Raw genomic sequence first — 14,228 nt, 5'->3', positions numbered from 1 at the left:
GCCAGCACTGACTGCCTGGCTTTTGCACAGCCAGTTACTGCTTTCTGCTGCTTCTACCCGAAAAAGAGCAATTCGAGATTGCTTTGTCCGAGACCGGTGCTTTGATGACATTGGTGCCACAGGATCTGAGAGGTGGCACACGTTTATTTCCTTCTTGCTGCCACCTCATCTCCAGAGGATCCCTGATCACTGATGGCCCTGCCGAAAGGGCCCTATCAGCCCACGCTGAGGCCCAGAGCTGTGCCAGGATGTGTAGTGTGGGGAGTGAGCCCGGCGAGGAGGGTGCAACAAAGGAGGCTTTTCTCTGGCTGATACAGCCTCTCCCAGCTGAGTCTTGAAGAGACTCATTGAGTCGTGAACTTGACTTGCCGGCCTTCTCCCCCTATGTGGCTGCTCTAAGAATAAAATCAGCTGGAGCAGACCAAGGCAAGGTGCAGTCAGGGTGTCTTAAGAGTGTCTTGCAAAAACTTATTGCATAACTGGGACTGCCACTTGTGCGAGATGAAACCTGTGCGTTCTTGGTGAGATGGAATCGGAGGCATCTTTGCTGCTTCCCCTTTCTTGTTTTCTGCCATATACCCTGGGCTCTGCAGAGCAACTGGTTTCTGGGTCCTATAGATATTAACTCACTTTCTGGGCTCATTTATGAGGCATTTTTATGTATGTGATTTCCCAGAGCCAATTCTGCTTCCCATCCTTCTATTCTGTAATCATCTCTCCAGCGCCTCCTGTCCCCAGCAGGAAGGCCAGGACTGGCCTTCATGCATTGCTACTGGCACTGGCGAGAGTGAGGCCCACGTTTTGCTCGCCCTGCAGGTCAGCTGGTCTTGCTCCACTGCCTTGCAGAGCACCCCTTGCCCTGGCCAGCTGCCCTCTGCCCGTGGGCCCCTGGTCACTGGGGGATGGGGCCAAAGGGAGAAGCTGATCGGCTCAGAGTCCTCCCGTCTGTTGGAAAGGCAGCTTCAAGTCTGTGTCCTACAGATAATGGGTCAGTCTTTTCTTTGCTCTCACTACCTTTTTCAGAGAAGTTTTTTGTTTGTTTTTTTGAGACAGAGTCTCGCTCTGTTGCACAGGCTGGAGTGCAGTGGCGCACAATTTCGGCTCACTGCAAGCTCCACCTCCTGGGTTCGAGCAATTCTCCTGCCTCAGCCTGCCGAGTAGCTGGGACTACAGGCGCGTGCCACCATGCCCAGCTAATTTTTCTATTTTGGGTAGAGATGGAGTTTCACCATGTTGGCCAGGCTGGTCGTGAACTCCTGACCTCAAGTGATCTGCCTGCCTTGGCCTCCCAAAGTACTAGGATTACAGGCGTGAGCCACCACGCCTGGCCTTTCAGAGAACTTTTCAAAGGAGCTTTTTCTGCGTCCAGTGAAGGATCCCTGCTCTCAACTGAGACTGCCCCTTGCCTTTCTGGGCTGTTCTAAGCTTAGTGTGAAACTCAGATATGCGTGGCTGAGCCCTGGCCCGCAAGTCGCCAGCCTCTCCACGGCTTTGTTCTTCCTCAGCCTGCTCGGACTTTCAGAGAATGGCGCGTCTGTGCTTCTCCGTCCCACCGTCTACCAGCCTGTGTGGTCCCCAGCTTTTGCCAGCCGTCCATTTCAATTCCCTCACCCAAGCGGCTGGTTGAAAGGGCAGGGCTGGCCCTAGCAGCAGTAGGAAGCGGCCAGCTCTCTTCAGTGTGGAGATTTAGCCAAGTGCTGGAGGATTCTGAGATGGGATTTCAGCGCCCCAGCGTGACCTTCTGCTTCCCCTCCGAACTGAATGGTGACCTAGGCTTGCACAGTTTTCACTAACAAGTCAGCAGCTTGAAAGTTGACCTCTCAAACTCTAGGGGAAAAGTGTGTGAGGAAGTGCTGATTTGGGTCAGTTTGAGCCTGCTGGTTGCATTCCCAGTTGAGAAAGTCCATACGATTTGCCGGCCACCCCGGGAAACTAAGACGATAGAAAACCACCTGTCAGTTCCCCGCTGCTGGAGAGGAAGCCAGAGATGGAGCGAAGGAGTACAGAGAGCCCTTTGTTGTGTCCGGAGCAGTGATGACTGTGTCTTGACGCCTCTCTTCTGGCTCTTGCTCTCATGTAGGTTCATGTGTGCCCAGCTGCCCAACCCCGTCCTGGACAGCATCAGCATCATCGACACCCCCGGGATCCTGTCTGGAGAGAAGCAGCGGATCAGCAGAGGTAAACAGCTGTGACCACAGCTCGGGCTGCTGGTGTTGTCACACATCCTTCTCTCTAAGATCTGCAACTTGGTTCAGATGCTGCCCTTGAGATTTCTCCTTTTTTTTTTTTTTTTTTTTGACGGAGTCTTACTCTGTCACCCAGGCTGGAGTGCAGTGGCGCGATCTCAGCTCACTGCAACCTCTGCCTCCTGGGTTCAAGCGATTCTCCTGCCTCAGCCTCCTGAGTAGCTGGGACTACGGGCATGTGCCACCACGCCCGGCTAATTTTTGTATTTTTCGTAGAGATGGGGTTTCACTATATTGGCCAGGCTGGTCTCGAACTCCTGACCTCATGATCTGCCCGCCTTGGCCTCCCAAAGTGCTGGGATTACAGGCGTGAGCCGCCACACCTGGCTGCCCTCGAGATTTCTTCCAGTCTCAGCCTTTCTAAAAAAAAAAATGTGGCCGGGCACGGTGGCTCACACTTGTAATCCCAGCACTTTGGGAGGCCGAGGTGGGCGGATCACGAGGTCAGGAGATTGAGACCATCCTGGCTAACACAGTGAAACCCCATCTCTACTAAAAAATAGAAAAAATTAGCTGGGCGTGTTGGTGGGCGCCTGTAGTCCCAGCTACTCGGGAGGCTGAGGCAGGAGAATAGCGTGAACCCAGGAGGTAGAGCTTGCAGTGAGCCGAGATCGCGCCACTGCACTGCAGGCTGGGCGACAGCGAGACTCCGTCTCAGAAAAAAAAAAAAAAGTGTCCGAGTAAGAACCCATTTTACATCAGCCTCCCATCTCCACAGTGCTCTGTGCACTGAGAGGGCGGGAGCTGCTTTCTTTCTTGGCTCCCTGGGCCTAGGCAATGGGAGCAGCCATGGTGAGACCACAGCCAATCTTATGTGGCTGTCATGCTTTTGAACCCCTGGGGCATGCTGGAAACAACAGGATCAGAATCGGGCCATGCTGTGAGGGTGCAGGAAGCATTGCTGACTCTGAACAAGCCCCTGGTCCCCAGAGCTTATTAGCTTTAGTCTGTGTTTAACAGCCTTTGCCCCCCAAAGCCATATACATTCCTCACACGTCCAGCAGGACTGAGAGAGAGCCAAGCAAAAGGAGAAGCTGGTAGAAATTCATGAAACGGGCTGGTGGAAATTTGCTTACATTTGCTTAGAGGTTGACAGCAGCCTCCCTGGCTGAGGCCTTCTTGCTATGCAGTAGTGCACCGTGCCCATTCCAATTGTGTAAACTCCTGCCTAGATTCTGCCAAGCTCTTTTGAAGATCTGGTTCAGGATGAGCCTGAACTGGGTCCTCCATCTGTCACTGCCCCTTTTTCACAGACGGGTGGGGCGCTTTGGGGCCTGATGCTTTCTGGGAGGAGCTTGAGGGTAGGCTGGTACCTGGCAGGTGAGGAGTGGAGTCTACAGCTCCAAATGTGAAAATGAAATAAGATCAAACTCAAAGAGGGGTTGAGGACAAGTGAGCAAGTTTGTTGATGATTAACTTGCAGATCCTTCCCGTGTCCCTTACCCTCTGGACTGGCCTTTGCTGGGTGAGCCTTGCAGTCAAAGCCGGCAGCTAGGATTTGGGGTGCACATGTCTCTCTGCTAGGGCTGTGAGGGCATGGGGACTCTGTTCTTGGAGCTGAGAAACCTTGCTTCTCTTTCCTTCCAGCCTTGCGGGCCTTGCCCGTGTGGGACTGCATCAGAGCGTACTGAAATCACTGGCCCTCATCTGGTTTCAGAGCTGCCAGTTAAGCTGTTAGATTCTCCCACCCCTGGTGACAGTGATGCACCTAGGAGTTAAGGGAGTAGATTTGGAGACCCCTTTAAAAAAAAAAAAAAGCGAGGGCTAGTATTTTTATTTCTTACTGCTATTGTTGTTCCAACCTAGTTTTAGTAAATGCCGGATAAGCAAAAGCCCTGTCATTTGCCAAAGCAAGGTCAGAAAATCTGATTAAGTTACTCTTTTATTTTTTTGAGACAGAGTGTCGCTCTATCGCCCAGGCTGGAGTGCAGTGGCATGATCTCGGTTCACTACAACCTCCTCCTCCCTGGTTCAAGCGATCCTCCCACCTTAGCCTCCTGAGTAGCTGGGATTACAGGTGCATGCCACCACGCCTGGCTAATTTTTATATTTTTAGTAGATATGGGGTTTCGCCATGTTGGCCAGGCTGGTCTTGAACTCCTGACCTCAGGTGATCTGCCCGCTTCGGCCTCTCAAAGCATCATCACAGCCTTGAACTCCTGGGCTCAAGTGATCCTTCCACCTTAGTCTCCCGAGTAGCTGGGCCCACAGGCGCGGGCCATCATGCTCGGCTGGGGTTGTATGTCTTGTGTTGCTTGCCTTGGCCCCTGCCCTCTGAGATGCTCCCTCCCCACCTCCCACTCCCTCTGCTTCCTTTCCCTGGTAGGAAAGAGGCAGGCAGAGGTGTCTACACTGGCTGTCTCTGGGACAAGCACCAAAGTGTATGCTCCATATCAGTGGATCTGCAGACACAGCATGGCGTTTTGATTGGGAGCAAGGGGTGGACGTAGGTGTTGCCTTGTGGTCCCTGCCCTGGAGTTGCCTGTGCAGACAACAGGTTGGAGGAACAAGCCAGCAGGACATGAGGCTGCTGTCAGTGTGCTGCCCTGCTCTGCCTGTGTGGCCTCCCTCTCCCCTCCAGGTGCAAAGTGTGGCCCCTCTGCATCCCTGAGAGGCCAGGCTCCCCTATATCCACAGAAGGTCATCTCTACCCATTATGGGCAGGAAGGAGCCGGTGGCTGAAAGAGAAGCACATCACGCTGATTGGAGGAGGGGTTTCCTGCTGTGAAGTAGCAGAAGATCAAACCGATTTTACTAGACCATTTCTTTTCCTCCATAGCCCTAGAGGCCTTGGTTTAGATGTGTTTTACTAAAAGTTACCTGGTTAGGGTTTGAATGATGGTGTTTTATTGTCAGGAGAAAGACCATCGCTCAGTACCTCTTGGAGGTGCTGGGTGTAAACTCCAGGATGAGCCCCGCTAGGTGTACACAGGAGGAGTGGATTTCTGTTTCCTGGAGGCCCCGCCCGTCAGTCATGGAAAGGCCCGTGTGGCCTGTCCAGCGGAGGAGGTCGGAGTGGAGCAGTGCGTTCCCGGCAGGGCTGGCCACCTGCTACTGCCTTTGCTGGTGGCGTGGAAAGCAGGTGTTTCCCTCTCGGAAAGATGGGGCCGGCAGAGCACGCACCAGGGCCCCAGCACAACACGCCTCCCCTGGCCTGCCAGCCCGTTCCCTGGAAACATGTCCTTGTGGAGGCCGTGGATGGACATTGGGGTTGCTAATTGCATTTACTTCCATTTCCCACCCCGTCTGGCCCCGCCTGGCCCCTCCTGACTTTTTTTCCCCTTTCCCCATGGTCCTAATGTGTGCAGGAAACACGGTCTGAAAAGATAAGGTGGGCTGGTGCAGGCCCAAAGCAGTCAGGATGCAGCCAGGCTCTGTCAGGGACCCCTGAGGACTGCCTCAGGGACGAGAAGGGGGCCGGGTTGGGGTCTCTTGGGCTGCCTTTGCCTGTGTGCTAATCTGAGTGACTTTAAAGATACCGTTCTCCTGTGTCAGCAGAGAAAGGTGGCCTCTGGGGGCTGCGTTCATTCTTGAGTGCTGCCTGTGTGACTGATAAGGGCATTCCAAAGGGCAGCTGGGTCCGGCAGGGGTGGTGCCCTTGGCTCCAGGGGCTGCCGACCAGTTGCGTGGTCCCGGCAGTGCCTCATGCCGAGTCATCCCCCGGCGGGGCCTCTGTGGGCAGCCCGGCCAGTTCGTTCGTTCCCCACCATGGTCACTAGGCAACTGTGAACTAAGCGGGAGTTTTTGTGTCTCAATCTCCCCATGAAAGCTGTATCAGCATCAGCAGGGTAGTGTTTCTACTTGCAGTAGCAGATCAGAGACCTGGCCAGCTTTGTGTCTGACTTTCTGCTGGCCACTGCCACATCAGTGAGTTCCATTGAGTTATCACAGCAGCTGCATCTAGGAGGAAGCTCCTGCCTTTCAGAGGAGGAAGCAGAGGCTTAGGAAAGTTAAGTAATTGGCCTAAGATGACAGGCAGGCCAGCAAGTGTCGGCGCTAGGATTTGAACCCAGGTAGGGGCTGTGCTCCTACTGCGGCGGAGCTGAGAAGGGTGCCTTGGCATGAAGGCTGTGGGCGAAGGAGTGCCGGGAGCTTGGGTCAGACAGACCTTTGCCCCTGTTGGGTCATTACTGTGGACACACAGTAATGTGTGTCCCTCCTGAGACACACAGAGGCCACCCTCTGTTTCTCTCCCACCCAAGGTTAGACTCCAGTCCTGAAATGGACCTGAGGTCTGGGGCTTTGAACAGCAGTGCTGGTATTGTGTTCCCTGTTCCCAGCCATAAATGATCCCTTGGGGTCTCCAGGGAGCCTGGTGGCCTGGGCTCTCGTTTGCCCTCTGGTGGTCTGCAGGCTCCCTCTAAGCCTGGGAGCTGTCCTGATCCTTAGTGGTTGGATGGGGCCTCCCTGCCCACACTCCCACCTGTGTGTCCTGAGCCCTCCGGCCCAGAGGCAGGCCTGCGCCGTGGGCCGCCCCCACTTCCTGCCGACACCTCCTGAGATGGAGATGCCGCTGCCAGCAGCACCCCCAGGCTGAGGTTTCACCAGGGTGCTCCGAAGACCATCAAATGCTCCCAGGGGCTGCCCAAAGGCCATGAGCCAGGCCAGGTGCTGTGTCCCTCTTGGATTCAGCATCCATAGCACAAGTAGATCAGAAGGTTCAAGTCCCACGTTAGTACTTGGGGAGCTGGGTGGCTCTAGGGAGTTGCTGTAGTCCCTGGGAGCTGCATCAGTCCATCAGGAAACACCATAGCCTCTCCAGTTATTGTAGATTACCAGAATTTACATGTTAAGCTCTTGCCCTAGTGCCTGGTGCACAGTTAAGTGTTCAAGTGTCAGCTGGTTCATAGTCAAGAGATTGAAAAGCCCAGGGCTTTCCAGACGGTGATCTGAGTAACATCCTGGGGAGTATCCTCGGGGAAGTGCTGACTCAGCCGGGGTTTCCCGTTGGGTTCCAGGCCCTCCTTTGCTCCCAGCTCCAGGCCTCCCAAAACCCTCTGCTCGCCCCACCTGGCTGTGGTCTCCCTCTGTGGCCCAGCAGGCCAGGATGCCAAGACAGCTTTTGGCCTCAGCCTCTGCTGGGGGCGTGCAGGCTCTGCCACAGAGGAGGCGTACCAGGCGCTGCCCGCGCTCAGCACCTGTTCCCCAGGCTGCGCACTGGCGGTGGGCTGGGGAGCAGCTGGCCGAGCGCCTGCAAACATTCCGTTTATATTTGGGGGATGAGGCATTCTTCATGCATTTGAAGTCCTTGCCTACACACCCATCAGAATCTGAGCTTCTTAAGCCCAAAATACAAATCCTGCGAGTAAATAAGAGCAAACATTTACTCCTGCTCGCAGTGTGCCAGGCTCACTCCATCCTCCCGCGGCCCTCCAAGCTGGAAACCTACTATCTTCGTGTTACAGACTGAGAAGCTGGGAACCGAGGCTCTGAGAGGTCAGAGACCTGCTGGGTCACACAGCTCGTTGTTGAGTAGAAGGTTCAGGATGGAAATGTGGGCCTGATTCCAGAGTTCCTCTGCCCCCTCCCGCCCCTCTTTTGTTGCTTCTGTCTGATTTGCTGGGGTCTACGTTGTGTGTAGTGAAGTCCACCCTCCTCAGGTGCCCTGCTGTACAAAGCATTCCTGGGCTGCCGCCACCATGACAGAGAGTATTCCCATCGCCTGAAAGTTCCCGTGCCCCTCATAGTCACTCCTGGTCCCAGGCAGCCCACTGACCTTTGTCTCTAACTTTTGCCTTTTCCGGAATGTCACCTAAATGGAATCATACAGGATGAAGCCTTTTGCTTCCACCTTCACTTAGCAGGATGCTTCTGAGCTGCATCTGTGTGTTTGAGAGCCCCTGTGGCCCGCTCCTCTTTGTTGGGGGTCCTTGTCCCATCATAGGGATGCACCATCCGTTGTCATCCATTCACCTGTTGGGGCGCTTGGGTTGTTCCACCCGGGGCAGTTTTGAGTCAAGTACGTGGTTCGTGTGGGCGTGTGCTGCTGCTGCTCTCAGGTAAATGCTGAGGAACGGAGGCGCCTCTGTGCTCCACTGGAAAACCCTTCCGGAGGAGCTTCAGCCTGAGCAAGCCCAGGAACGAGGCCCAGCACGCGTTGGAAACCTGTGTGATGGAGAGCTAGGGCGAGAAATACTGAAGCCCACGCAGCTTGAATGACAGGAAACAAAAGTCGATTGGAGACAAACCCTCTATGTTTCATGTTCTAGAAATCTTTGGAATGTATAAAGCAGCTTTTCCCCCTGCGGCTGGAACTACCTGTGTTTTGGAGGCTGCTGGGGTAGGGCGGGGAGGCCTGAGAACCTCCCTCTTCCCCTTCTGTGCTGGCGGGAAACATGGTCCAGCTGTTCTCAGGAAGGCAGACCCTGTAAGGCCAGCGCCTGGAGAGGGGCGCCCCAGAGCCGCAGTGGCCTGGAGGAGGCTGGGTGGGACGCGGGTCGCCATGAGAGGCACCTGCGTGCACGCTACCCTGAGGTGCCATGCCTGGCTCAGCCTGGTTGCCCGGAGCCACTCTGTTCTTTCATCCCACAGCCCCAGGACTTTTCGTTTTCACTTTTTAAAAATTGTGATAAAATACACCTAACATATAATATTTACCATTTTAATCTTTTTTTTGGAGGTGGGGGTACGGAGATGGAGTTTTACTCTCATTGCCCAGGCTGGAGTACAGTGGCACGATCAATCTCGGCCCACTGCAACCTCCGCCTCTGGGTTCAAGCAATTCTCCTGCCTCAGCCTCCCAAGTAGCTGGGATTACAGGCGCCTGCCACCACGCCCAGCTAATTTTTGTATTTTTAGTAGAGACAGGGTTTCACCATGTTGACCAGGCTGGTCTCGAACTCTTGACCTCAGGTGATTCGCCCACCTCGGCCTCCCAAAGTGCTGGGATTGCTGGCATAAGCCGCCGCGCTTAGCCTTTTTTTTTTTTTCTTTTGAGACAGAGTCTTGCTCTGTTGCCCAGGCCGAAATGCAGTGGTGCGATCTCAGCTCACTGCAGCCTCTGCCTCCCAAATTCCAGCAGTTCTCCTGCCTCGGCCTCTTGGGTAGCTGGGATTACAGGCGTGTGGCACCATCCCTGGCTAATTTTTGTATTTTTAGTGGAGATGGGGTTTCACCATGTTGGTCAGGCTGGTCTCGAACTCCTGACCTCAGGTGATCAGCCCGCCTTGGCCTCCCAAAGCACTGGGATTACAGGTGTGAGCCACTGCGCCCGGCCTCATTTTAACCACGTTTTTTGGTCATGGACCCCAGAAAAGTAGATTTTAACTATTTGTAGGTGTGCATTTCACTGGCATTTAGCACATTCTTCATTGTTCAGCCGTCACCACCATCCAGCTCCAGAGCTCTTCACTTCCCAAATGGACACTCTTCCTGTTCAACACCAGCTCCCCTCGTGGCTCCCTGCACCCCGCAGCCCCTGCACTCCCCATTCTATATTCCTTTTCTGTGCACTTGATTACTCCTGGTATCTCCTGTCAGTGGAATCCTACAGTGCCGTATCTGTCCTTTTGTGGCAGGATGTTTTAAAAAAACTTTTAGGTTCAGGAGTACATGTACAGGTTTGTTATACAGGTAAATGGAGTGTGGTGGGGTTTGGTGTATAGATTATTTCATCACCCAGGTAATAAGCGTAGTATCTGATAGGTAGTTTTTCTTTTCTTTTTTTTTTTTTGGAGACAGGGTCTCACTCTGTCACCCAGGCTGGGAGTGCAGTGGCACAATCACAGCTCACTGTAGCCTCCACCTCCCGGGCCCAAACAATCCTCTTACCTCAGTGTCCCAAGTAGCTGGGAATACAGATGCATGCCACCACACCCAAATTTTTTTAAATTTTTGTAGAGGGGGGTCTCGCTATGTTACCCAGGCTGGACTCAAGCAGTCCTCCTGCCTCAGCCTCCCAGAGTGCTGCGATTACAAGCGTGAGCCACCATGCCCAGCCTGCTAGGCAGTTTTTCTGTCCTCACCCATTCCACCCTCAAGTAGGCCCTGGTGTCTGTTGTTCTCTTCTTTGTTGCCATGTGTACTCAATGTTTCACACCCATGGATGAGTGAGAACATGCGGTATTTGGTGTGGAACATGCGGTATTTGGTTTTCTATTCTAGTGTTAGTTTGCTGAGGATAATGGTCTCCAGCTCCATCCATGTTGCTGCAAAGGTCATGATCTTGTTCCTTTTTATGGGTGGATAGTATTCTCTGTGGTATATGTACCATGTTTTCTTTATCCAGTCTACTGTTGATGGGTATTTAGGTGGATTCCATCTTTGCTATCGTGAATAGTGCTGCAATGGACGTATGTGTGCATGTGTCCTTATGGCAGAATGATTTCTCTTCCTTAGGGTTTATGCCCAGTAATGTGATTGCTGAGTCGAATGGTAGTTCTGTTTTAAATTCTTTGAGAAATTGCCAAGCTGCTTTTCACAGTGGCTGAACTGGTTTACATTCCCACCAGCAGCGTATAAATGTTCCCTTTTCTCTGCAACCTCACCAGCATCTGTTATTTTTAGACTTTTTAATAATAGCCATTCTGACTGTTATGAGATGTTGTCTCATTGTGGTTTGATTTGCATTTCTCTAATGATTAGTGATGCTGAGAGTTTTTTCATATGCTCGTTGGCCGCGTGTGTGTCATCTTTGGAAAAGGTCACAGACTTATTTCATCACTTAGCATCATGTCTTCTAGGTCCCAGGATTTTCTGAGCTAGAGCTTCCTGGTGGCTTATGATCCCTTATCAGAGGGGGCTCTGGCTTTTACTCACTAAAACCACTCCCTCTGCAGGTGGGCCTTTCTCTCCAGCCCACCCGCTTGGGCCATGTTTTCTGTGTCCTTTTGCTCGGCATCAGTTCTGTCACTCCCACTGGGGCCTGAGCTAGTCAAGCTAACAGCAAGGCCCCTACCTTGGTGGGTGCCAAAGCCTGAAGTCTTGTTGCCTTGGGCAGTGCCGGGGGTGCTGGCAAGCCCTGTTCTGTACTTGATACCGGCCGTCCAGCTCTGATCTAGAGAGTGGCTCAGTGTTACCGCTGTGCAGTGTAGCCTTTGGCACCTCTTGAAACCCGGCGTCTTTTAGGCTGAGTGAGGTGCCTTTGAGGGCAGCGAGGGCCTGGTGGGCTAAGGAGCGCCGGTGGGCCTGGTGGGGCGTGCAGTTACGTGGTCACTGCCTGCATGGCACAGGCCTGAGTGCTGTGGCCCTTTTTGTCACCTGTGGGTGTGGCTGGCCAGTCACTGTGTTTCCCTCACAGCAAAAGCACATTTTCTGTAATAAACAGGAAATTTTAGTCACCTGCAAAGAAATGGGCTTACCTCTGTTGACTCCAGCTTGAGATGACGGCCAGTAACTGGGTTTCAGAGCAGGTGGGGCAGGGCTTCTGGACCTGGGGCAGGGAGTTTTGGAGTGCTCACTCTTCTTTCTTCCTTCCCCTCCTTTTTCTCTCTTTCCCCAGGGCCCCCCAGCCATCCAGGGGGAGGGGGGAGTGGGGCCTTGCTGGGTGGAGTTTGGGAGGGTGACCTCAGCTCCCCAGGCGCCGTCCTGACTCCCAGGCCAAAGCTAACATGGGCTGAGCACAGCCCATCAGGGCGCCCTCATTCCCAAGAACTCGGTTTTGGCATCACAGCCTCCCCAGCTGTGTGAATTCTAGTTTCAGCTTGTGGCGGGCTGAAGACAAATGATTTGACAAGGGGAGAAGCTGGGCCCCCTTTTTGCTGAGCGAGGAACCTCAGTCCTTGAGTCATCGCCTTTTCAGTACTGACCTGCGTTCCCAGAGCTGGCCATAAAAGGCTGTGGGCTGCGGGCCCCAGGCAGGCGCTGCAGGCTTAGCTAGTGTGGCCTCATCCCCCGGGGGCAGAGGCGGCCTCTCCCTGCCCCTGTTTCCCTCATGTTGCCCTTGGCCTCTCTTTCTGGTTTTCTGCCGAGACTTCACTCTTTGGGCATCCTCTCCTGTGGAGCTCAGAGCCAGCTGCAGGGAGTCCGGGTGCCCGGGGCCTTGTACTTTGGAAGCAGGAGCCTGTGGTGGCATGAGGTGCCCTGGCACGATGCCCTTCCACACCTTCTGGGCACAGGGAACCTGGCAGCTCTGCTGTCTCCGACCATCCACCTGAGCCTCTGGAAGGCTGATCGGGCCTCCCCGTCCAGGCTGGAGGCCAGGACCCCGGCTCCCCTGCACTGCTACCCTGTTAAGAAGCTTGGCCCTCGGGGCTGCTTCTGGTCAGAGTGCCCTATTTCCTGTTGAGCTGGGGCAGGGAACGGCCGCACATCACCTGTGGAGAGGCTGCCGAGGCTGTGTGGCTGAAGCTGTGGATTTGGGATTTTCCTTACATTTTGGTGACTTTGCTCAAGGATGAAAGTCCTTGACCGGTGATGGGTCCAGGCCGCTGGCCCCTTGTTCCCACAGAGCCCTGGCTTCCCCTGCCCCAGCCTGCCAAGGAGGCTGTCCCTGTCGGGTCCTGGGCTGGAGGCCCAGTGCTCCCACACGCCCTCCTCCCTGCAGCCCGGCTGAGGAATTGGTATTTAAATTTCACAGATGGAGAAAGTAACTGAGAAGTTAGGAAAAGAACTTCAGGTCACAGAGTCAGTGGCAGGGGGCGGGAGTGGAGTGCAGAGCCATCTTAGTTAGTGGCCCGAGTTCCTTCTGGGAGCGCCAGGTGTGGGGAGGGGCTCCGCGCCCCTGTGGCTTTGGGCTCACAGATGGCGCCAAGCACGCTTGGGCCTGGGGCCGGGGCAGGCGGCAGGAGTGTTTATCCCATGAGCGAGCTTGACTCCGCACACCCTGTGGTGCCATTTATCTTGGCGTGCTTGTGCGTAGAGGCAGCCTCTCAGGAGCCTGGGCTGTGGACCTGCCTTTGTCCTGGAGGGCTTTGCAGGGTGGGAGCAGCGGATGCCACCAAGGGGGAACCCGTGTAGTGGAGGAGTCAGCAGCAGCTCCCACTGGGGGACGGCAGGGCTGCCCTCCCATCACCGTGGGCGACCCTGTCCAGCTGCTGCTTTTCCTTAACGCTTTGTCCTTGGACCTCCCACCTCGCTGCTGTTTTTCTGCCCCCTCAGTCTAGAGAGCGCCCATCTCCATCCCCAGCTTGGCAAGAGGGTGGTGTTTTTCATGGAGATGCCAGGAGCAGGTGGTGGGCTGAGGACTCGTTTGGGCCCAAGCTGTGCGACTCTCAGACTGTTGTGTGCAGGAGTGGCTTCTCCTGCTCTTTTCCGGAGCCTGACTGCTCTCTGGGAAGTACTTGGTGCTTCTGAAGAGGGCCGGCCTACATTTGGGTGGCCTGGGACCTGTGGGAAGACTGAGCCAGGGACGTGGAGGCTTGCCCAGAATCAGGCAGAGAGGATGTGGCCCCTCGGGGGTGGGGCCCAAGCTCCCCAAGGATTCTAGGCCTTTGTTTCCACATGGCCCGCCTGTCACTCCTTACTCTTCCTAGACCGGGAGGGACAGAAGTTTTACTCTAGGGGCAGAGGAAGAGGTGAGGATTTCTTTTGTTTTGTTTTTGAGACAGGGTGTCGCTCTGTCGCCCAGGCTGGAATGCAGTGGCATGATCACGGCTCACTGCAGCCTCAACCTCCTGGGCTCAGGTTATCCTCCTGCCTTAGTCTCCCAAGTAGCTGGGACTACAGGCCTGCACCACCTTTGTAGAGTCGGGATTTTGCTATGTTGCCCAGGCTGAAGTGGAAATATTTAGAAGAGGCCTAGTTGTCATATAGGATTCAAAACTGCTGTTGAAGAGGCCTAGTTGTCATATAGGATTCAAAACCGCTGTTACAGAGACCCAAAAATCATTGGCTTAAGTCAGATAGCCAATAGTTTATGTGAAAAACAACAGTCTAAGGCCATTCTGAACATGCAGCTTTCATCTCTGAACCCGAGGTGCTTCCTCCAGCTCCTCCCATCACATCAGCATCCCCGTCCTCAGGAGGGAGAAAACAACAGAGGGCTCATGCACCTTTTCTTGTTCATTCTGCTGAAGGAGGCTGGGAAATGCAATCTGAAGCTGG

At 54.4% G+C, this 14,228-nt stretch overlaps 1 protein-coding gene across 3 annotated transcripts in view, besides 5 other annotated features; it reads left to right on the top strand.

The window, feature by feature from the left end:
- The window catches only part of EHD1 (EH domain containing 1), a 28,052-nt gene that overhangs the window by 3,095 nt on the left and 10,729 nt on the right, over positions 1-14,228 (top strand). For all 3 annotated transcript variants that reach the window (NM_001282445.2, NM_001282444.2, NM_006795.4), the window contains one exon: positions 2,081-2,178. In NM_001282445.2, the coding sequence (NP_001269374.1) occupies positions 2,081-2,178 (98 nt within the window). The remainder of the gene's footprint in view (positions 1-2,080; positions 2,179-14,228) is intronic.
- Positions 2,673-2,863: a silencer, noted in NCBI's record as "fragment chr11:64641208-64641398 (GRCh37/hg19 assembly coordinates)". NCBI's record gives its function as "represses an EF-1alpha promoter that drives an FKBP-Casp9 reporter gene in an ReSE screen in phorbol 12-myristate 13-acetate-treated (for megakaryocytic differentiation) K562 erythroleukemia cells {active_cell/tissue: K562(+PMA)}" and the evidence as "EXISTENCE:reporter gene assay evidence [ECO:0000049][PMID:32094911]".
- Positions 4,922-5,011: an enhancer, noted in NCBI's record as "active region_4928". NCBI's record gives its function as "activates an Ori minimal core promoter by ATAC-STARR-seq in GM12878 lymphoblastoid cells {active_cell/tissue: GM12878}" and the evidence as "EXISTENCE:reporter gene assay evidence [ECO:0000049][PMID:35858748]".
- Positions 6,656-7,085: an enhancer, noted in NCBI's record as "active region_4927". NCBI's record gives its function as "activates an Ori minimal core promoter by ATAC-STARR-seq in GM12878 lymphoblastoid cells {active_cell/tissue: GM12878}" and the evidence as "EXISTENCE:reporter gene assay evidence [ECO:0000049][PMID:35858748]".
- Positions 10,478-10,777: an enhancer, noted in NCBI's record as "active region_4926". NCBI's record gives its function as "activates an Ori minimal core promoter by ATAC-STARR-seq in GM12878 lymphoblastoid cells {active_cell/tissue: GM12878}" and the evidence as "EXISTENCE:reporter gene assay evidence [ECO:0000049][PMID:35858748]".
- Positions 12,391-13,202: an enhancer, noted in NCBI's record as "H3K27ac-H3K4me1 hESC enhancer chr11:64630869-64631680 (GRCh37/hg19 assembly coordinates)". NCBI's record gives its function as "activates a minimal SCP1, AML or CMV promoter by ChIP-STARR-seq in naive H9 embryonic stem cells {active_cell/tissue: H9 hESC(naive)}" and the evidence as "EXISTENCE:reporter gene assay evidence [ECO:0000049][PMID:30033119]".

The sequence above is a fragment of the Homo sapiens genome, chromosome 11 (genome assembly GCF_000001405.40).
Source record: "Homo sapiens chromosome 11, GRCh38.p14 Primary Assembly".
Classification (NCBI taxonomy): Eukaryota; Metazoa; Chordata; class Mammalia; order Primates; family Hominidae; genus Homo; species Homo sapiens.
This window is presented reverse-complemented; position numbering and strand designations above follow the sequence as displayed.